The sequence below is a fragment of the Homo sapiens genome, chromosome 1 (assembly GCF_000001405.40).
Source record: "Homo sapiens chromosome 1, GRCh38.p14 Primary Assembly".
Taxonomy (NCBI): Eukaryota; Metazoa; Chordata; class Mammalia; order Primates; family Hominidae; genus Homo; species Homo sapiens.
In genome coordinates this window covers 13,937,321-13,961,471 of record NC_000001.11, presented here as the reverse complement: position 1 = coordinate 13,961,471, position 24,151 = coordinate 13,937,321, and the positions used below count along the sequence as shown (strand labels likewise).

Genomic DNA, 24,151 nt, shown 5'->3' with positions numbered 1-24,151 from the left:
GCCCAAACAAAATGACTCCCATCCACCACTCCACTCCTGACCCTCTTGCTGTGGCTTTACTTTTCTCTGTGACATTTATGATCACCTGTTTATGGTCTGTCTCTCCTCACTAGAATGCAAACATCATGAGGTCAGGAATTTGTACATGTGCATGTGTGTGTGTATACGTGTGTCTGTCTGTCTGTTCTGGTTTATGGTTTATTCTTTGAGTGCAGTTTATGGTTTATTCTTTGAGTGCAGTAGAAGTCAAGTTCCTTTTGTTCAACACACAGAGACTCCACACACACGCGAACCCCAGGAATGAAATCATTACACTACATTATAAGTTGGAAGAAGAGGGTGGGGGCAGGAGAGGGAAAAGGGAGGTGGGAAAAAGGGGCTCAGCCCCTAATGTAGGGGAGAAGGAATGCAGGAACGTTGTCTCTTTTATTCTTTGCTTTCTTCTCAGCACCTAGAATGTGCCTGGCATACAGTAGATGCTCAATAAATATTTGATCAAATGAATGAATGAGTAACTGTCCCCTTCTCAGCCAGGGACACAGTGCCTGCAAAAGATGTTACCAACTGAACCTGGATGACAGAGCCACACAGCCCCCTGTCCTGAAGCCCCAGGTCCTGAAGCCCCAGGAGAGGGGAGCTGGATGGAGCTGAGGCCAGGGTTTTCCGAAGGCCTGGACAGAACACAGGAGCACAGACTCCCAGTAGCCCCCAGCCACTGACCAAGCCCTGACAGTCCGCCTTTGGAAACTTATCCTTCCTCGTGTCCTGGGAGACACTAGCCCAAGTAGGACCCGAATGAGGCCTTAGCAAATACAAGCCGATTTGGGAAATCATCCTGAGGTTTGGTCTCCCGGCGTCAATGTGATGCATTCATGCCATTCATGCTTTGACCACCAGAGGTCACTGTGGCTGCACGTAGCGTTCCAAGATGGCCCTGGTTAGGTGTGAGTTTGTGGTTCTGATTTCACCTTCATCTCTGTGGCCCGGCAAGTGGGAAAACGGCACCTTCCAAGGACAACTCTGGGACTAGTGCTGGCATTACTAGAACGTACATGACTTAAGGTATGTCCTTATAAAAGCCATAGATACAATCAAACGATCGGCTCTAAAGTTGGGCTGTCCGGGTTAGAATCCCAGTTCTGCCTGCCTGTGTGATGTTGGGCGAAGCTCTCTGCCTCAGTTTCCCCTTCTACAAAATGGGATAATGATAGTGCCGTCCTTGTAGGGATTTTGTGAGGACTAAATGAGTAATGCACACAGAACTTTTAAAACAATGCTTGGCATATACTCAAGAATTGTAGAAGTGAATTATTTATTATTGCTTTTCCTCCATATGGCTAAACATGATTTTTAATGATAAATTCTGTGATTATTTTATTAATGGCTTTTTCCCCATTAGACTGTACCCTTTGTGAAGGCGGGGGTGGGGTTTACATGTTTTTTGGACTTTTTATTATGAAAAACTTCAAATACACATGAAAATAGAAGGAATAGTCTGTATCCGTTTCTATTCATCATTGCCTCCTTCCCCAGCTCCAAATGCAGTGCCCACTGCATTATAGTCCTTCGACAATGAATGGCCATTTATTAGGTGCTATTTATAAGCCACGGAGGGTGTTGGGCAGCAAATCTAAAGAGAGTGAATCAGACCCAGGCCCTGTGCACAAGGAGCTCACAATCTAATGAGAAAGGCTGCCTTAATTTGGTAATTTCCCAGGGTGGAGGTAAATAAATTGAGGGTATGATGTGGACATCTCACCTGGTCAGGTGAGGTTTCCTGAAAGAAGCATCTGTGATCTATAATGAGAACTGAAGGATGCATAGGCGCTCATGTGGTGAGAAGGATGGGGAAATGATCCCATGCAAAGGGAACAAGTGCAAAGGCCCTGAGGGTGCGAGAGGGCAGGGCCATGTTCCAATAGGATCAGAGGGATGGACTGCCAATCAATTCTGACATTCACATTCAATGTGACCTTACTCTATTGAAGCATTTCTAAGTGTGCTGGGGACTGAGGATAAAGAGAATTAGATGTGGATCCTGGCTGCTAATTCCTCCCTGCCAACTTACAGTCCATCCCAGAGCATCTCAAGGTGAGGTCGGGTATGGTCCTTGTCTGAGTTCCTGTGAGCTACTGCAATAGAGATTCTGTACACTGGGTGGCTTATAAACAACAGCTCTGGAGGCTGGGAAGTCTAAGATCAAGGTGGTGGCAGATTTGGTTTTGGTGAGGACCATCTTCTGACTCACAGAAGTGTTTCTCGGCTACATCCTCACCTGGTAGAAAGCGCTAGCTAGCTCTCTGGGGTCTCTTCTGTAAGGGCACTAATTCCTGATCACCTCCCAGGGGCTTCTAGAGGGATCACTTGGGAGACACCTGCAATCACCTGGACATGGTGGAATCAGGGGTTGAGATTCATGATGGTGGGAGTGAAAATGGAAAGCAAGACTGTGGGTGGGCCTAGACCACAGGCATGATCAACAGGGCAGATGCTAACCAGGATGGGTGGGATGGATGTTCACACCTGGCTTTTCTTAGCTGCGGTCAGACCTCACCAATCTAGTAGAGCCTATAATTCTTACCAAGGACCTGAGCAGCCTAGCTCCTGCATTTCTCATCTCTGCCTCCAATTCACTTCCACTCCCGCCTTGGCTCCAGCCACATTGGTCTCCTCTCTGTTCTGAAATCTACCATGCCCTTTGGCTCTTCCAGGTCTGCCTCCCATAGATGTATCTATCTGCCCACAGGGCCTCGTCACCACCAGTTCTCCCAGGCTGGATGATTCCTACCTAACCCCCTAGTCTCTGCTTAAATATGACCCCAGAGAAGCCTTCCCTGATCTGCCCTTCAAATTAGTTTCTCTCCCAATATGTTAATTTTTAATTTTTTTTTTTTTTTTGAGATGGAGTCTGGCTCTGTCGCCCAGGCTGGAGTGCAGTGGCGCAATCTCGGCTCATGGCAAGCTCTGCCTCCCGGGTTCATGCCATTCTCCTGCCTCAGCCTCCCGAATAGCTGGGACTACAGGTGCCCGCCACTATGCCCGGCTAATTTTTTTTTTGTATTTTTAGTAGAGACGGGGTTTCACCGTGTTAGCCAGGATGGTCTCTATCCTCTGACCTCGTGATCCGCCCGCCTCGGCCTCCCAAAGTGCTGGGATTACAGGCGTGAGCCACCGCACCCAGCCAATTTTTAATTTTTAGTGAAGTGGAATTAAGGAAAAGTATAAGGCTAAATTTTTTAAAAATTAGCAATTGAATATCTACGTGTGCATAATTACAATAACTTCTGTCTTCCCCATTCCACTATAAGCTCTGGGTGCACACACATCATGGTTTTGGTGTTCCCTGTTGTGTACCTAATGCCTGAGCAATGCCCAGCACATGGTAAATGCTTAATAAATATATGAATGAACGAATGAGGTGAATATTCATGCACATGCCTATTCAATAACCTGAATTACTATCACATTCCCATCCTTGAATGTCCAGCACTGAACGTCCCTGTTCCGTTTCCTGTTCCCTGGATGTCATCATCATACTTCTACTGGTAGTAGCCACCCCTGTCCTATTAGAAACAAAGTGCTGTGGTTTGGATGTTTGTCCCTTCCAAGTCTCATACTGAAATTTGGTCTCCAAATTTGAGATGGGGCCTAATGAGAGGTGTTTGGGTCATGGAGTGGATCTTTCATGAATAGATTAACGCCATCCCCCAGAGCGTGAGTTCTCACTGTCTCACTCACTGGTTCCAGTGAGAGTTTATTCTTAAAAAGTGCCTCACATCTCACCCATCCCCACCTTGCTTTCTCTCTCACCCGGCGATCTCTGCACACCTGGCTTCCCTTTGCCTTCTGCCATGAGTAGAAGCAGCCTGAGGCCCTCACCAGATGCAGATGCCCAATCCTGAACTTTCTAACCATCAGAATTTGGGAGTCAAATAATTTTTTTCTATGCAAATTACCCAGCCTCACATATTCCCTTATAGCAACACTAAATGGACTAAAACACAGGGGTACCCAACCCAAACCCATCCCCAAGTCACTCCATGTCTGATTAACCTTTTACTGTCTGAAGGGCACTCATTACTGTCAAATTATCTTAGTTTAGCTTGCTTAGCTGTTTCCTGTCTCCCTGTCCCAGAAGAGCAGGGATCTGGATTGTCTCTCTCACTGCCCATATCCAGGGGCACTGGCCTTAGAGTCTGCATATATCATTTTATTTTGCATTTCCACACATTACGAGTGAGGGGACAGAAGTCTGGGGAGGCCACCTGACTCCTAGGTCAGGCTAGTCATTGGCCAAGTAGCAATGATCCGAGTCTCTTACTCCCTGATTCATAACCTTCTCCGGGATCCTGGCAGGTCACAAGGCTCCAACACAAGGCAGGATTTCTTCTTCTACCCCAACTGCTGGAGCTTCCCTACAAGGCTCAGAGTAAATGCAAGATCATCTCATAAAGAAGACTCACAATGGTCTCCCCAGCCTCATCATGCCCTCAGCTACCCACCAACATACAGACAAAATTAATACAATTCATACAATTAGACTCCTGACCTGGGATGCCATAGCTTCACTTAGTAACCAACAACTCTCATGTCCTTGGAAACATTCCTCCCTTCCTTGGGTCTTTATTTACTCATCTATCTAAAAAACAAAACACAGGTGAGCAGCTCCCTCAATCTCTTCCCACATCTTCTCTATACATCCTTCAAGTCCACGGTTTTTGTTTTTTAATCTGAAAGTAATAATTTTTTCCCAACAACAAAATAGTGGGTGCATATCATGCTCCAAGCATATGCACAATCACATTATGAGTGCAGACTTCCTGCGAGAGCCAAAGCAATTACCATACCATTAGGTGGGCCATGCTTGGAGTACACAAACTTAGTCACGAGATTCCTGGAGGGATGCCCAGAAAGAAAAGAATAATCGTATGCATGTCAGAATACTTCCTAAGAAATATTTCTCCTAAAAGTTCCTTTTGAAACATGAGCTGGCAGGGAATTGGAGGACAGTTTTGTCATTGGTCAGGAACAGGCAGGAATTAAAGATAGAGACAAAGGGACATGTCTCTGGATGCAAAAATGTAAACAGTAAGCCCACCGAGAGACTTGGGGCTGGAACTGGCCAAGCTGACATTTTTATAAATGATCAAAAAAAAAAAAAGAAAAAAAAGAAAAGAAATGATGTAGTAACATCTACAGACATCCCTAAAAATTATTGCAGGTTGACATTCCAAGTAAGGAAGACTCAACTTGAAGACTGTACACATTAGTGACAATGACAAAGAGGGAATGCCAGCAAGGGAATGTAATAATGATTTAGAGAAAATTAATACAAAACAACATTATCTCAGTTAATAAAAAATGGGAACTGAGTTTCCGGTTCTAATTGGGATTAATTAATGCACCCATCACTCATTCATCCAGCAGCCTTTACAGAATCCTCACTACAGGTCCTACGAGGTGCTGGGATGATGGGCGCTCATGATGAGCAGACACCAGTGATGAGTCCAATAGAAGGACGTTTCTTAGAATGACTGGCGTGACTCTACAATCATGGGCCGCAGGCTGTAACCCTCTGGAGAAGATGGCCCACCCCAGAGGAGGGGTACTAAGAAGTCCCAAGGACTTTCCTCAGTGCCTCTTCTTTCATTTATCCCTAAAGGTTGGAGTTAGGAAGGTCATGTTCACATAGTAGGAATGTACTGTCTTTTAAGAGAAAATGTTAGTTATATTAAGATCTAATAGTAGAGAATTTTTAATGAGCCCCAAAAGGGTAGAAAATTTTTAAGAAAAGCAAGCTGGCTTTAAGGCTCACACACCTGTGGTTTGTCCAGTTGTCCTCTCCTTCCCAGATTCCTGAGGTGGAGAACATCTTTGTGAAGAGTTTGGGCCATAATCCCAAAAGACACCACCCCAAATGCCATCATCCCCAATGTTGAATTCCTGAAAGACCAAAATCCCTAAAGTCTAAAATCCCAAAAATCACAATCCCAAAAGACCAAAATCCCAAAAATATACTTTAAAAAAATAATAATTTTAAAATTATTTAAAGGACATTTATTTATATTTTAAAAGGAGATTTATTCATATAAAAACTTGAGGCCACTTTACACAGTAAAATAGGCAATAAAAACATGTATTTTTATAATCATTAACACTCAGGTATACTAATGACAGTCATACGGGTATAACGGTTATGAGCAGACGGACCATATTAATAAAGAAATAGCTTATATAACTGTGGTCATCTGAAATACCACGACAGACAACCTAAATCTTTTGATGAGATCAATCAAAAACCACCACAATTCACCACCCATATACAGTCACCCAAAGAGCTGATATGTCAAGAAATTTTACCTTTCACAAGTGCAGGTATGCAAAAATGACATAGCTTCATTTTCTGAGGACCTTTCAACATTTTTACATACACACACAGTGCCTTATACACAGTCAAAGTGAAAATGTTACTTTCGAGGAGTCAAATTTGCAACAAAAAAAGCCTAAGACGAATTGGAGCTCTCTAAAAGTCTTTACACAATTTATACTTCTAGCATTGGAAAGAGGGTGAAGATGAAAAACACAGCATAGCAATTCGTAAAAACTAATGCTGACAATTTAAAATAGTGGGAAAGAAAGTAAAAAAAGAAAAAAGTCCAACCCCCTCAAGAAAACTAAAAAGAAATCTCAACATATGGAAGAATGTATTACAGGGATAAATTATGGGCAATTGCATGGAGGTAGTGCATAAGAGCTGGCCGACTTCTGAAGTCTTGCATGGTGATGAATGCTTGCTTTTCTTTTAGGGCATGGCTGTCCTCAGAGAATATGTTCACATTCATTTTCTACATGGCACGGCACTGCTTTTTTGAAATTCTTCTATGAGTTGACATGCATGAACACAAGCATTCCCTATGAAATTTTCCCATCTTCTTTGCCATGCTTCTATGTTGTTTTGAGTATATAAAAATCCATTCTGCATGCACTCATACACAGACCACAGATTTGGCAGAAACAATCCTGGTGATCAAAACAGCAACCCCATCACATCTTATCCTGTCATGCACAAAATTATTTTTGAACCAGTCAGTGATTTTGCTGACTTCTTCAGGAAAGCAAGTGTGGTTTTAATTCAACAAAAAAGCTCCCAGAATGTCATCAGCTGGAAGCAATGCCAATGCAGACACATGATGCGGTTTTGTGTTGTTGGTTTTTTTGTTTGTTTGTTTGGTTGGTTGGTTGGTTTTATTTTTGTTGTTGCTGTTTTTGAGACAGAGTCTCATTCTGTTGCCCAGGCTGGAGTGCAGTGGCGCAATCTCGGCTCACTGCGACCTCCGCCTCCTGGGTGGTGCGTTTTTAAACTGCAGTTTTTGTTGTTCGTGTATTGCTCAGCCACTCATTCATCTGAATTTTCCAACAAATGCATGGGGCCGAATGGAAAAAAACAAAGTTTACTGATAATACATTGAGATTCACTTTTTGAAGACTTGACCACACCTAATGGCAAACCTGCCATGGTTTGGGGATTCAATTAAATATTAGTGATTTTAGAATTAAGGGATTTCAACTTTAGAAATTTTGATCTTCCAGGATTTCAATATTCAGGAAAATGACATTTGGAATTTTGTCTTTTGAGATTATGATTGGTACCAATCTGGTGGCCACCATATTGGATGGTGCAACTCTAACAAGAGCTTTAGAAGAAAATGATTAGAATGTAAAAAACAAGCTAAAGACATGAATCTTCAGATTAAAAGAGTCCACCACGCTCGTGAAAATAGACCCATATTTAGAAATACAGTAGTGAACTTTCAGAACAAATTAAAAAGAAAACTCTAAAAGCTTCCAGAGAAGAAAAAAAAGAAAGAAAGAAAGGGTTACTAACATAGAAATGAGAATCAAATTGAGATCAGAACTATCATTAGCAACACTAAATGCTAGAAGAAAAGGGCTGGTGGGAGAAATTTCTGAGAACACGTTATTTTGGATCAGGAATTCTTTAATCAGACAAACAACCATTCAATTTTGAGGTGAAGATAAAACTTGGACATGGAACTCACTCAGTTCATCCTGAGGTCCTTCATAATGATCTTTGCAAAAGCCTCTCTCCCGTAGTCAGGCTTAGTGCAGAACCAAGATTGACTTCTACAGCATGAAGTACTCCACGGGCCAAAAAGTATCTCCAGATTCTGAGAGGTGTTACTTTAGACCATTCCAGGCCCTGAGAAGTAGCCTAACTCCTCCCTGAGTCAATAAAGCCAAAATTCACCTCCAACATGTAAGGGGTGAGAGGAGAGATAAGATAGTGCCTGGAAGAACTGCGGAAGCTCTGATCCTCCCAGGCCAATTGTCTATTGAATTCGGGGGCCGTTCTGTAGTTCCCACCACAGCCTGTTCTGTTGCTTCTACTTGAATACCTCTAACCACAGGTTTCTCAATACTCCAGGGCAGCCCATTCTGTTGATCATCAGGCAGCTTTGGCTGTTCGAATATCTTTTATGATGAGCTAAAAATGTATCTCCCTATATCTTAGGAAATAAAGAATCATATAACTAGGAGGAAAATCATAGAGAACTCTGGTTCAGTTTCCTCATTTTAAAGGCGACTAAGTGGAGATCCAGAGAGGGATAGGGACATCCCAAGGTCACACAGCACAATTGTGGTCCAGCTGATACTACTGGTATTTGAGCTCCGGCTGGCCAGTGGCCTTGCAACATGAGGAGCTTTCCTGGTGATCTGGCCAGGGGGACCTTTCAATGTCATGCGTCTGTGTGCACACAGGTTGACTTTATAAGGTGTTCTGAAAGCGATCGGGGGTTTATAACAGTTCCCAGAAGACCCTGCCCCAGCTTGCTGCTGTTTGTTCTCTCTCCTCTTTAAAAGGAACCAGCACAGGGCCCAAGAAGTAACCACAACTCCTCCCTGAGTCAATAAAGCCAAAATTCACCTCCATGTAAGGGGTGAGAGGAGAGATAAGATAGTGCCTAGAAGAATTGCGAAGCTCTGAGCCTCCCAGGCCAATTGTCCAGCCCTGTGCTGGCCATTCTGTTTCATCCTATCATCCCAAATCAATCCAAAAGAGCAGATATTGATATTATTATTATTATTATTATTATTATTATTATTATTATTATTATCTCCATTTTATACCTAAGACTCCAAGCAGTGAAGTGGCTTGTCCAAATATTCAGCATGACATGACAACATCCTACAGTGTGTAAGACCACATGAGTCATCTCCAAACCAGAACCCTTTTGAGAGTAATTCAATTTAGAAGACAAAAAGGCAGCCCAGTAAATAATATTAATAACAAATAAAGTAGAAGCTCTAGGGAGTCCTGAAACCCCTTTTCCTGCTCAAATAAGAAGCTGCTAAAAGAAAGGAGATTATGCAACAAATAGTCCTCAAACAATCAACAGCTCCCATAGGCCTGCAGGGATCTGGGTTAAGACACCACCCTTTCTTTACTGCAAACAGGCCTGACCTGGTTCAAGATTTCCCTGGGAAACTGTTACTAAAACTACCCAACTGATAATAAATAGCACAGCTAGGGCAGGCCAGATAACCACCAAGGCAACAGCACTGTGGGTCATACCTTGGCATCATGTGTCTTAAGGCACTTTTACTTGAGAGATTTTTATAAAAGCAGAAAGTGGGTGGTAAGGGGGTGGGAATCCATCTATGTCTGTATGGCTTGCCTGGACTTAGAGAAACACAAAGAGCATGATCATCATGGACAGCAACCCTGTGCTGGCCATTCTGTTTCATCCTATCATCCCAAATCAACCCAGAAGAGCAGATATTATTATTATTATTATTATTATTATTATTATTATTATTATTATTATCTCCATTTTAGAGCTAAGATTCTAAGCAGTGAAGTGGCTTGTCCAAATATTCAGCAAGACATAACAACACCCTACAGTGTGTAAGACCACGTGAGTCATCTCCAAACCAGAACCCTTTTGAGAATAAAGGGGACATTAGTAATAATTCTTCTGGGATGACAGGCATACTTTGGGGCCATCCTGAGCTCACCAGGAAGTGTGGTCCCCGAACCATGAGCCAGGCATGGGTCTAAGTGCTTTGCGTGGACTAGCTCATCTTATCCTCATCTACCCTTATCCCCATTTCACAGATGGGAAAGTCAAGCCACACAGCTGTGAAGTGGTAGATCCAGATCCAGGATTTGAACTTGGATAGGCTAACTCCAGGTCCCATGTCCCTTACCACACTATGCCTTGCTGCCTCTCCGGGAGCCAGGATGTTCACTCAAACATGCTGACCCCCAACACTGTGCACTGGGCACACCCACAGTGTCTCCTCTCTAAAGTCTTTGCTCAAAGAATCTCTACCTGACAATGCAATGGTATCGCCTGCAAATTCCAAATCCTTAATACAGGGCTGGGTATTAGCCAAAGAAAAAAGGCTGAAAGGAAGAGGAATCCCATGGACTCCAGGCAGGGTCATTTCCCAACAAGACCAGAAACATCCCGTTCTATCTTCTCCTTTGACAGTTTCCCGAGAACTGCAACACTATCACATCTTTTGGGAAGGCGATTCCTTCCTTTGTATACCTATTTAACACACAGTACTGGATAGACGACCTTGCCCCTGAAACGCCCCAAGAGGCAGCCAGTGGGAACTGCATCCTTGAACCCCCTTGACCTCTAGCTGCCCTGTGGGCTCAGTCAATGGGAGGCACATAGAGAAGTCAAAGAATGAGTGGCTGATGAGGTTGGGGTATTCGTTCCTCTGCTCTCTCCAGGCCGCAGCTCCTTCTAGGCAGCCCTTCCCTCTCCTGGTCTGCTCAGGCCTGAGGGTTATAATAACTCCTGCAGTCCGACGCTGCCTTTGTAAGCTGTATCTTTACTAAAAATCCCAATTTGAACACATCAACTACTACCTGCCAGATGCTGTTTCCTGATAGTCTAGTAAGGAAGCCCACAAGCAAGTAGATAACTCAGACAACTCATTCAAAAAATATTTTGAACATGAACTATTTGCCAGGCAGTACACTGAACGCTGGGGATATACAATAAGGAGAAACAGACACAGTCCTTGTCCTCATGGAGCTGACAGTCTGATAGGAGAGACCATCAAATCCCAGAAATGGGTACAAAAGGACAGCTGGAAGTGCTCTGTGGGGGCAATGTGGGATGCCAGAAGAGGTGACCTGGAAGGGCACTGGCCTGGCCAGGGAGGTCTGGAAGGCATAAGGGACACCAAGGAAGCATTGTGCAGGACCATCGGAGGAGGCGGGGACAGAGAAAAACCTGGGCACCCAATGACAAAGGCCAAGAGGGAGGAAGTGCAGCCCAAACAAAGCAGCAGGTGCATGAAGCAAAGGAAGAGGCCTGGGAGGGAGCAAGGCTCAGGGAGCAGGCTCAGCCCTGGGGTGTGGGGATGTGTTGGAAGAGGGGGCTGCAGAGCAAGGCAGGGGCGGGATCTGGAAGGCCCCTACCCACCATTCCAAGGCCTTTCAATCTTACTCGGACCCAGTGTCTCCAAATCTTAGCCATGAAGTTCCTCCTCACATCAAACTCAGTCTTATAGTCAACAGTTGCAGTGGGAATCCTCCCAGGTCCAAACTGGATGGTGTCTCGGCTGTGTTTTGAGCAGCAGCTTCCCCGTTACCTTTGACCTTAGAGGATGGATGTTGAGAATGGGGCTTTGGGGTCTGCCTGTCTGGGTTTAGATTCTGTCACACATTTGCCAGCTGGCTCAGCCTTGGGAAAGACAACTTCTAGCTGACCCAGATTACTTCTCCATCATAAGGTATATTCATATGGATAATAGGAGACCTTTTTGAATGTGATGAAGTTCAAGGAGTGCTAAGGACGCTGCTTGGCACAGAAAAAGGGCTCAGTAAAGTGTGAGCTGTTATGATCGCCATTATGGAACCCCATAGACATGGAAAAAAATCTCACCCTAAAAACACCTCGTCACACAGAGATGCTCACGGAAAGTCATGCAGAGGTTATTAAATATCTGATAAGGACCGCTGTCTGATATTGAGAAGCCTTATCATTTTTTAAGCCCTGAACAATCTAATTAGTGGTTGCTTTCAAAGCCAGTCAACCCTAAGTCTCCCCTGCTGCCTCTTAAACAGGAGGTATTTCTGCTGGCCCAGGCCCCTGCAGAAATTGTCTCCAAGTACAAGAGCTCATGGGATGTTCTTGGGAATGATTCAGTAACAAAACGCCACTTTGTGCCAGCAGATGTTTTGCAATAATTAAGTGTGGTCCCTGAACATAAAAATCAGAGCTGCTGAAAATAAAAATCTTGAGAGTAACTGCAATTTCTGGGACAGCTGCTCCCTCTGGGTACAGAGGAGAGGGGAAATGATGTTCTTACCAGAATGCTGGCTGGAAAGAATAATAGATTAGATCCAGAAAACCTGGGTTTGAGTTCTGTTTTACTCAGCATTTATCAGCGTATTTATTGAACACAGAGTACATGCTGGATGCTGGGTACGTCAGAGAGGCGATGCTGGGACATCTGAGTCATGCATCTTGAGTCCAGTCACGATTTTGCCTCTTGCTACCCGAGTGACCTTAGCCAAGTTACTTAGCTCTCTAAGCCTCCATTTTCATGTCTGTAACATGGGAAGGGGCCTAGGGCAGAACCTTGAGCCATATTTTCATTCCTGAAAATAACAGCAAAACAGGAGCCAGCAATACTTCTGAGGAGAAGCTTCCAGAGATACAGAATGAAAACCAGGAGATGGTGGACTGAGCATCATTGCAACAGGAAAAAGATTGTTTGCAGAAAAAAAAGAACGGTTCATGGCCACAAAGAGGTCTTGGGGGTAAGGCTCAAGAAGCCAACACTGGATCTCAAAACAGGAAGGTTCCATCCTGCAGAAGCCTCTCCACTGCCCCCTTTCCCCACACCAGATGTGTATGAGTCCGTTCTCACACTGCTATGAAGAAATACCAGAGACTGGGTAATTTACACCGAAAAGAGGTTTAATTGACACAGTTCTTCATGGCTGGGGAGGCCTCAGGAAACTGACAATCATGGCAGAAGGCATCTCTTCATAGGGTGGCAGGAGAGAGAATGAGTGCCCCGCGAAGGGGGAAGCCCCTTATAAAACCATCAGATCTTGTGAGAACTTGATCACTATCAGGGGAACAGCATAGGGAAAACCGCCCCCATGATTCAATTATCTCCACCTGGTCCTGCCCTTGACACGTGGGGATCATTACAATTCAAGGTGAGATTTGGGTGGGAACACAGAGCCAAACCATATGAAGGTGGTTCAGCAGCCTGACGTTTCCAGAATCCTTCACTCTTTCTCTTCTATACCTGTAGTAGGATGAAATAGAACCATACCAAGAAATCAGTTCTTAACCCCTGGAATCTGTGACTGTTACCTCAAATGAAAAAGCAGTCTTTGCCATTAAGGATCTTGAGATGGGAAAGATTATCCTGAATTATCTGAGTGGGCCCTTGGTATGAGCTAAACTGTATCCCCCCAAAATTCATATGTTGACATCCTAACCCCAGAAATTGCTGACCAGGGAAAGAATACAGAAAAGCTAACTCAGAGTGCGACTGTGTTTGGAGATAAGGTCTTTAAAGAGGTCATTGAAATGAGGTCCTGAGGATGGGCTCTGATCCAACATGACTGGTGTCCTTATAAGAAGAGATTAGGACACAGGCACACACAGACGGAAGATCACGTGAAGATACAGGGAGAAGACGGCTGTCTACAGCCAAGGAGAACGGACTCAGAAAAGACTAACACCGCTGACACCTTGACCTGAGACTTCCAGCCTCCAAAACTGTGAGACGATAAATTTCTGTTGTTTAAGCCCCCAGTCTGAAGTATTTGTTACGGCAGCCAGGGCAGACTAATACAGCCCTAAGGGCAATCACAAGTGCCCTGACAAGAGGGAGGCAGAGGGAGACTTGACACAGACACACTGCAGATGAGGAAGCAATGTCACTGATATGGTTTGGCTCTGCGTCCCCACCCAAATCTCATCTCAAATTGTAATCCCCATAATCCCCACATGCCCAGGTGTCAAGGAAGGGACCAGGTGGGAGGTGATTGGATCACGGGGGCGGTTTCCCCCATGCTGTTCTCATGAGTGAGAACATGCATCTTGAGTCCACTCACGATTTTGCCTCTTGCTACCCGAGTGACCCTAGGCAAGCTGCTGAGTGAGTTCCCGTAAGAGCTGATGGCTTTAGAAGGCAGTTTTCCCTGCTCTTGCTCATTATCTCTCACCTGCTCCCATGCAAGATGTGCCTTCTTCCCCTTCTGCCATGATCGTGAGTTTCCTGAGGCTTCCCCAGCCCTGAGGAACTGTGTGTCAATTAAACCTCTTTCCTTTATGAATTACCAAGTCTCAGGCACTTCTTTATAGCAGTGTGAAAACAGACTAATACAGTGACCATGGGGGCAGAGATCAGAGGGATGCAGTCACAGGTCAGGGAATGGGACAGCCACCAGAAGCTGGAAGAGGCAAGGAACGGATTCTCCCCCCAAGCCTCCAGAGAGAATGCAGCCCCACTGATACCTTAATTTTGGACATCCGGCTTCCAGAACCATGAAAGAATGCATTTCTGTTGTTGTAAGCCACTAAGTTTGTGGTCATTCGTAACAGCAGCCACACACATGAAAATACACTACCTAATATTAAAATATGAGGCATCATTTACAGGGCTCAGGTGCAGTGCTAGGAAGTAGGGTTACGGAGTAACACAGATAAAGACAGTGTCAGGTGACCTCAGGATCATAATACCTTAGCCATCTAGCATCTTTGACACACATTACAGGGCACAAGCAGGTGATCATGACCCTTTTGGAATATTAGTTCAACAAGTGTTTCTTAAGGATCCCAAGGATTGTCCTAGGTACTGGAGCAGGGGACAGTTGTGAAACAATGTCATAGGGAATTTTTAAACTTCCTCGTACTCCCTGGAATTTCCCAATTTTCTACAGTGAGTATAACCATAATGATTAGTATTGATCACGGTGTCGGCAGACTTCTGTGCTCTTGATTCTTCTTAATCCTCAAATTGCTCACTTTATTTCTATTTTATGGATGGGGAGAAGGAAAAGTAATTTGTCCCAGGTCACATGGATAATAAGAGGAAAATCCCGTTTTGAAACCCAGGAAGACTGGCTCCAGAATCGCAACTCTTCGCCTCTATGCATTCTGTGATTGAGAAAACAAAAACCATGCTTTAGAAGGCAGCTGTGTGATGTTTCTCCTCTTCTATCAGTAAGACTGTGGTAAGCATACTAGAATAAAGGCACTTAAATCATGACATGAGGGATTCGGGTTAGCCAAAAGAATGCATTTCTTAATAGAAAAGCACCAGAAATTGCTGACCAGGGAAAGAATACAGAAAAGCTAACTCTGGGTTTATTTAAAAATAGGAAGGTAGTTTCATCTGTCTGAGTGACTCTCCTGAGGACTTGGAAGCCCAGATTGTCTAACCACTGCCATCTGGCAGTTCTTGGTGCTGGAGAGAGGCCTTTTTTGGAAACAACCAAGACCCATAACTGTGCTTCCTCAGAAGTCCAGCAATAGGGACTTGGGCAGAGAAGGGAAGCAGGCATAGGAGCCATCTCGGATGTTCTGAAAACCACACCACTGCATCTTCCCCAATTCAGGTGGCCCTTGCCAGAACCAGCATTCCAATATCCCAGTTCACCCCATCTACCAGGCACCGGCTTCATAAAAAAATGTACTAAAGACTTAGGTTTAAAAACATTCTCTCTCTCTCTCTCTCTCTCTCTCACACACACACACACACACACACACACACACAAACTGAGAGCAAATGTCATTTAAAAAAATCATCCTATGGAACAGCTGTGTTAAAATTCCCAACTATGATTGTGGGTACACTGTTAGTTTTACCATTCATTGCTATATATATATTGTGAGTTGATATTAGCAAAGTGCACAGAACTTTTTTTTTTTTGAGATGGAGTCTCACATTCCTGATCAATTCTAATTTTTTTTTTTTTTTTTGAGACGGACTCTCCCTCTGTTGCCCAGGGTGGAGTGCAGTGGTGCCATCTCAGCTCACTGCAACCTCCGCCTCCCAGGTTCAAGTGATTCTCCTGCCTCAGCTTCCCGAGTAACTGGGATTACAGGCATGGGCCACCATTCCCTGCTAATGTTGTATTTTTAGTAGAGATGGGGGTTTCACCATGTTGGCCAGGCTGGTCTCGAACTTCTTACCTCAGGTGATCCATCTGCCTCGACCTCCCAAAGTGCTGGTATTATAGGTGTGAGCCACCACGCCCAGCCTGCACATAAATTTTTTATTCATATCTTCCAGATAGTATATCTTTCAGGTGGATTGAGCCTGTTATTGTTATTATTATGAAATGTTTCTCTTTATATCTAGTAATGTCTTTTACCTTCAGGTCCACTTTGTTTTATATTTTTTAAATGACACTAGCTTTCTTTTGATTAGTGTTTACAATGATATCTCTTTCTCTCCTTTTATTGTAAATCTGCCTGTATCACATATTTAAGGGATATCTCTTGTAAGCTCATAGTGTTGGATTTTTTTCTTTGTTACTGAGAACATCTAGTCTATTTACATATAATTATTTATATATCCAGGTTTATATCAACTATATTACTATTTGTTTTCTACTTGTCAAAACTATTTTATGTTGCTTATTTTATCTTTTCTTGTCTTATTTTTGATTAATCAAGTATTTTAATTACAATTATCCCTCTAGTAGCTTTTTAATTACACATTTTTCACCCTTCTATTAGTGGTTACCATAGAGATAATGACACACATCCTTGACTTATTACAGTCTAATATAAATTACTACTTTTACTGCTTTGCGGCCATTCAAGGCATTTAAAACACTACCTCCATTTACTTTCATCTGCCTTTGTGCTACTGCAGTTACGTATTTTAATTCTACATACATTTGAAACAACTTTATTCAGGTATATCTTACATATCATAATACTCATCTCAAGTGTACAAGTCAATGATGTTTACTACATTTTACCAGGTGGTGCAACTATCACCATAAATTTATTTTATAGCAATTTACCCCCCGATAAAATCCTTCATGTCCATTTACAGTTAATCTCCATTCCCATTTCTAGACCTAGGCAACCACTAATCTGCTTTCTGTTTCTATAAATTTGCCTTTTCTGGATATATCATAGAAATGGAATCGCAGTGTGTGGTTGGTCTCTTGTGTCTGGCTTCTTTCACGTCGCGTGCTATTTTCAACGTTCATCTATGATGTAACGCGTATCCGTAGTTTATTCCCTTTTGTTGCTGAATAGTATTCCATTGTATGATATGCCACACTTCTCTGTCTTTCACCAATTAATGAACACTTAGGTTATTTCCACTTTGGGGCTATTATAAACAAGGCAGCTATGAGCATCTGCATGACAGTCTTTGTGTGGACAATGGTTTTCATTCCTCTTGGGTAGATAGCCAGAGGTGGAATTGCTATGATAGTTTTACCTTTACCTTTTTTAGTAAGTGCCAAACTTTTCCAAAATGATTGCACCATTTTACATTCTGACCAGAAATACTGGAAGGTTCCCATTTCTCCATATCCTTGTCAAAGTTTGTTATTTTCTATTTATTGTAGCTGTTCTTTTGAATGTGAAATAGTATACCATTGTGATTTTAATTTGCATTTCCCTAAGGACTAATGCTGTTGAGTATCTTTTCATGGGCTTATTAGCCATTTGTATATACCATATAGGCTTCTTTTTTATTTATATATATTATTTGTTTTAGAAAATCAGTGAATATTTAGATTTGCCAATAACTACTCTTTGTATTGGTCTTGAACCCTTTCTGCATGTTTGTTCTTCCTTCTGGGATCATGTTTCTTCTACCTGAAAACTCCCTTTGGTAGATTTCTTTTAGTATTTTAGAATACATTCTCTAGATTTTTTTTCTTTTTCTGAAAACACCTTTATTTAAGCTTTGTGTCCTAAGATTATTTTCTGTAAATATGAAATTCTAGGTGGTTATTATTTTTTTTAAAAAATTTTTTTTAACATAGAGATGGGGTCTTGCTATGTTGCCCAGGCTAGTTTTGAACTCCTGGCCTCAAGGGATCCTCCCACCTCAGCCTCCCAAAGTGCTAGGATTACAGGTATGGGCCACTGTGCCCAGACACTATTATCTTCTTTCTGCACTTTAAAGATGCCATTCCATTGTCTTCTGGCTTTCATCAGGTCCTTAGGGAAGTCAATTGTTTGTCTTGTTGCTCTTTTGAAAGTAGTATCTTCTTCTCTCTAACTTCCTTTTTTCATTTTCATAAGTTTTGTGATGATCTGCCTACAGTAGTCTTCTTTGTACTTACTTGGATTGTGGTTTATAGAACTTCTTGGGCCTATGGCTTGATGATATTAATCAGTTTTGGAAAATCTTGGCCAGTATCTCTTCAAATATTGTTTCTGCTTCACTGTCTTTTTTCTTCTCATTCTGGAACTTCAATGATACTTATTGGATCTTTTTTACCATGTCCATATGTCTCTTACCCTTTTTCTCTTTATGCTTCACTATGTAGGTTACTACTGGTCTTCCAGGTTGCTTATCTTCTTTGCTGTTGTGTCTAATCTGTTGTTAAACCCATATATTGAATTAATTTTAGCTAAAGTACTTCTCAGTTCTAGAGTTGTTATCTAATTTTTATAGATTCTAGCTATTTGACAAAATTATCCGTCTTCTCATCTATTTTATTAAGCATATTAATCACAATTATTTTAATGTCCATGCGTAAATAACTTCAAGTCTTTGTCTTGGTTTTTTGTTGTTTTGTCCTATTTCCTAGCGTGCCTGAGATTGTTTTTTATTCAATCCCAGAGATTGTGTATGAACAATTATAAAGAGAATTTGAGGTGTTGGTGAATTATATATATACATTTTTTTTTTTTTTTTTTTTTTTTTTGAGACGGAGTCTCGCTCTGTCGCCCAGGCCGGACTGCGGACTGCAGTGGCGCAATCTCGGCTCACTGCAAGCTCCGCTTCCCGGGTTCACGCCATTCTCCTGCCTCAGCCTCCCGAGTAGCTGGGACTACAGGCGCCCGCCACCACGCCCGGCTAATTTTTTGTATTTTTAGTAGAGACGGGGTTTCACCTTGTTAGCCAGGATGGTCTCGATCTCCTGACCTCATGATCCACCCGCCTCGGCCTCCCAAAGTGCTGGGATTACAGGCGTGAGCCACCGCGCCTGGCCGGTGAATTATATTTTTCTCCAGAAAAAAAATTTGTTCTGCTTTGAGGTAGAGTGAAGGTAAATCACCTCAATCCGGTTGAGAATTGAGGGATTTGAAGCTGGGCTTTAGTCTTTTCTGAGGGATGCTCTATTTTCAATCCACTCTAACTCCTAAAATAGAGCCATTTCAGGGCGCTAACTGGAATTGCCAGGGACCTTCCTCCTTAGCAGACCTTAATTTCAATATTTGTTGGCCCAGACCCATAAGACTTCCAAAATTCCTGCTTTGTTTCCTTGTTTTGTTTTGACTACTGAGTTCTGTTCAACTTCTTAACTCTTAGCCTCACACAGGTTGCAATTGTCAAATGCCTTAAAAGAGAAGACACAGCAGAAAATTGGACTAACATCATTGGATTTCTCCTCCCTCTGGATGCTGCCTCCCTAAGTGCTGGCTGCCTTGGTAGCTCTTTGGTGTTCTCACACACATGAGTTTTGTTGTTGCTGTTGGTGGTGGTGGTGATGGTGGTAGGTTTGGTTTGTTTTATTTGGGGCCGGTTTTTCTACTTGTTGTCAGTAGGAAAATTTTTCTGCAACAAGTTTCTCTTCCATTAACAGAAAGAAAATCTGAAACACAGCTGTGCTTGTTCTAAAGTGCTACTTACTGCTGAAACTTCAGAATAAAGAACCCCCAGGAGAGGATGCCTCCTGGGACAGAATCCACCAATCCCATCTGCTTTACATAGGCACTCGCCAAAAAATCACCACCCCTGACTTGACTTGCCAAGGTTTGGGTTACTGATGTGAGAGGTAAGCAGAGAGGAGGCCTGTCCAACCTAAATGTGAGTCATAGTCTGGGAGACCACATGTAGCTGAGGACTGAGGACCACAGGCTTCCTGAGCTGTTCCCTATTCATCTCCAGCACATAGTAGATTCTCAATAAATGTTTGATAAAGGGAAGGGAACTGTTTGAAAGAGTGTGTGAGCAGGTATGAAAGAGACCAATATTTCCTATGTAGTAGTCATTGATTATGCAGATATTCCCCCCTACTCCTTTTTATTGTTTTTTTTTTGTTGTTGTTGTTGTTGTTTTAGATGGAGTCCTGCTCTGTTGCCCAGAGTGCAGTGGTGCGATCTTGGCTCACTGCAACCTCCACCTCCTAGGTTCAAGCGATTCTCTCCCCCTCAGCCTCCCGAGTAGCTGGGATTATAGGCATGTGCTACCATGCCTGGCTAATTTTTGTATTTTTAGTAAAAACGAGTTTCACCATGTTGGCCAAGCTGGTCTCGAACTCCTGACCTCAGGTGATCCACCCACTTCCGCCTCCCAAAGTGCTGGGTTTACAGGTGTGAGCCACCATGCCCAGCCCAGATTTTTCCCATTTAATATTATAGATGCATTTCAGAACTTTTAGGTATAAATATAATTCATATTCTTTGGATATTTTAATTAATTTAAGAATATTTGCAACAACTCACTGTAAAAGTTTAAAAAAATGGAACCCAAGCAATGTCCCAGTAAGGGTAGCAGCAGAAATTTTTTTCAACCCCAATCATATACAAGGTACTACGTATTTTTTTCCTATTAATTTTCCAGTTCACTAATCTCTTCTGTTGTGTCTAACCTGTATATTGAGTTAATTTCAGTTATAGTATTTTTTCAACTCTAGAGTTGTCATTGATTCTTTTTTATGTATTCTACTTCTCTGGTAAATTATCTGATATGTATATGTCATCAGAAAACTAGAACTGAAGAGAGAAGTTTCAAATATACACAATCAAAAATGATAAAGGTAGCATTACAACTGACACCACAGAAAGATAAAAGATCATCAGAGACTACTATGAGCATCTCTATGCACACAAACTAGAAAACCTAGAAGAAATGCATAAACTCATAGAAACATACAACCTCCCAAGATTGAACCAGAAAGAAACAGAAATACTGAACAGACCAATAACAAGTGTGAAATTAAATCAGTAATCAAAAAAAAAAAATCTCCCAACAGAAAAACTCCCAGGAGCAAATGGATTCACAGCTGAATTCTATCAGATGTGCAAGGAAGAACTGGTACCAATCCTACTGAAACTATTCCAAAAGAATGAAGAGGAGGGAATCCTCCTAACTCATTCTATGAAACCATTAACACCCTAATACCAAAGCCATGTAAGGATGCAACAAAAAAAGAAAACTACAGGTGAGTATCCCTGATTTAGTTTGGATGTTGTTCCCTCTAAATCTCATGTTGAATTTTAATCCCCATCATTGGAGGTGGGACCTGGTGGGAGGCGATTAGATCATGGAGTCAGATTTCTCATGATTGGTATAGCACCATCCTCTTAGTGCTATCCTCAGTATAGTGAGTTCTCATGATACCTGGTTGTTTAAAAGTCTGAGGCGCCTCCCCCACCACCCTCTTGCTCCCACTCTCATCATGTTTTGTGCCAGCTTTTTCTTTGCCTGCTGCCATAAGTGAAAGCTCCCTGAGGCCTCCCCAGAAGCCAAGCAGATGCCAACACCATGCTTATATAGCCTGTGGACTATGAGCCAATTACATCTCTTTTCTTTATAAATTACCCAGTCTCAGGTATTTGTTCATAACAATACAAGAATAGCCTAAAACAGGAGTGGGGCATTGCTATAAAGATATCTGAAAATGTGGAAGTGACTTTGGAACTGGGTAACGGGCAGAGATTGGAAGAGTTTGGAGGGCTCAGAAGAAGACAGAAAGATGAGGGAAAATTTGGAACTTCTTAGAGACTGGTTAAATGGTTGTGACCAAAATGCTGATAGTGATGTGGACAATTAGGTCCAGGCTGACAAGGTCTCAGATAGCAATGAAGAACTTATTGGGAACTTGAGCAAAGGTCACTCTTATTATGCCTTAGCAAAGAAATTGTGCTCATGCCCTAAGGATCTGTGTAAGTTTTAACTTAAGAGTGATGACTTAGGGTATCTGGTGGAAAAAAATTCTAAGCAGCAAAGCATTAAAAATGTGGCCTACACTCAGATGCAGGAGCAAAGAAATTGCTTAAAGCTAGAATTTTTATTCAAAGAGGAAGCAGAATATAAAGTTTTAAAAATTTGCAATCTGGCTAAATGGCAGAGAAATACAAAGCATTATCAGAAGAGGAATACAAGGGAGCTGTGGAGCAACCACTTGCTAGAGATATTAGCATGACTAAAAAAGAGCTAGGTGCTGATAGCCAAGACAATGGAGAGAGACCTGGAAGTCACTCCAAAGATCTGCAAGGCAACCTGGAGATCACAAGGCAGAGGCCTAGGAGGAAAGAATGGTTTTGTGGGCAAGGCCTGGGGCTCCAATGCCCTGTGTCACTCCAAGAGGATACTCCCCACATCCCTCCTGCTCCAGCTCTAGCTGTTGCTCAAAGGACCCCAAGTACAGCTCATGCTGCAGAGGGTGCAAACCATAGGCCTTGGCAACTTCCACATGGTGTTAAGCCTGCAGGCACACAGAGAGTGAAGGAGGTTTGGCATCCTCTACCTAGATTTCAAAGGATGTATGGAAAATCCTGGGTGTTCAGGCAGAAGCCTGCTGCAGAGGTGGTCCCCTTCCCACAGCTCCACTAGGCAGTTCCCCAGTGGGGATTCTGTGTGAGGCCTCCAATCCCACGTTTTCCTTCGCCACTGCCCTAGTAAAGATTATCTGTGAGGGTTCCACCCTGGCAGCAGACTTCTGCCTGGACACCAAGGATTTGAACTGGAAGCCCTAGCTAGAGAAATCAGGAATGAAATAAATAAATAAATAAAAAGCATCCAAATTGGAAAAGAGGAAGTCAAATTATCTTTGTTCACAAATAATATAATCTTACACTTAGAAAACCCTAAAGGCTCCTCCAAAAGACTCCTAGATTTGATAAGTGACTTCAGTAAAATTTCAGGGTAAAAAAATCAATGTACAAAAATTAGTAGCATTTCTATACACCAGGAATGATCAAGCAGAGAACCAAATCAAGAACTCATTCCCATTTATAATAGCTAAAAAGAAAGTGCCTAGAATACATTTAACCAAGGAGCTGAACGATCTCTACAAGGAGAACTACAAAACACTGATGAAAGACATCATAGGTGACACAAACCAGAAAAAAACTTCCATGCTCATGGATTGGAAGAATCAATATTTTTAAAATGACCATACTGCCCAAAGCAATCTACAGATTCAATGCGATTTCTATTAAATTATCAACATCATTTTTCATATTTCAATTAGAAAAAACAATCCTGAAATTCACATGGAACCAAAAAAGAGTCTGAATAGCCAAAATACTCCTAAGCAAAAATAACAAAACTGGAGACATCACATTATCTAACTTCAAATTATACTATAATGATACTACAAGTTTATAACAGCATGGTACTGGCATAAAAATAGAAACATAGGTCAATTGAACAGAATAGAGAACCCAGAAATACAGCCACATACCTACAACCAGCTGATCTTTAACAAAGTCAACAAAAATATACACTGAGGAAAGACACCCTATTCAATAAATGGTGCTAGGAAAATTGGTTAGCCATTTACAAAAGAATAAAACTGGACCCATATCTCTCACTATACACAAAAATTAACTCAAGATGGATTAAAGACTTAAATATAAGACCTGAAACTCTAAAAATCCTTGAAGAAAACCTAGGAAAATCTCTTCTGGACATTGGTATAGGCCAAAGAACTTACGACTAAGTCCTCAAAAGCAAATGCAACGAAAACAAAAATAAACAAATGAGACTTAATTAAACTAAAAGCTTCTGCATAGCAAAAGAAATAATCAACAGAGTAAACAGACAACCTATGCAATGGGAGAAAATATTTGCAAACTATGCATCTGACAAAGTACTAATATCCAGGATCTACAAGGAACTCAAACAACTCATCAAGGAAAACAACAAATAACACCATTAAAAAGTGGGCAAAGGATGGCTGGGCATGGTGGCTCATGCC

At 42.3% G+C, this 24,151-nt stretch overlaps 1 protein-coding gene across 6 annotated transcripts in view, besides 1 other annotated feature; it reads right to left on the bottom strand.

Annotated features, from left to right (window-relative positions):
* KAZN (kazrin, periplakin interacting protein) overlaps window positions 1-24,151 on the bottom strand; it is a 1,225,220-nt gene that overhangs the window by 1,156,572 nt on the left and 44,497 nt on the right. The gene's annotated exons all lie outside the window — the stretch shown is intronic.
* Window positions 14,414-14,646: a silencer, noted in NCBI's record as "fragment chr1:14273321-14273553 (GRCh37/hg19 assembly coordinates)". NCBI's record gives its function as "represses an EF-1alpha promoter that drives an FKBP-Casp9 reporter gene in an ReSE screen in K562 erythroleukemia cells {active_cell/tissue: K562}" and the evidence as "EXISTENCE:reporter gene assay evidence [ECO:0000049][PMID:32094911]".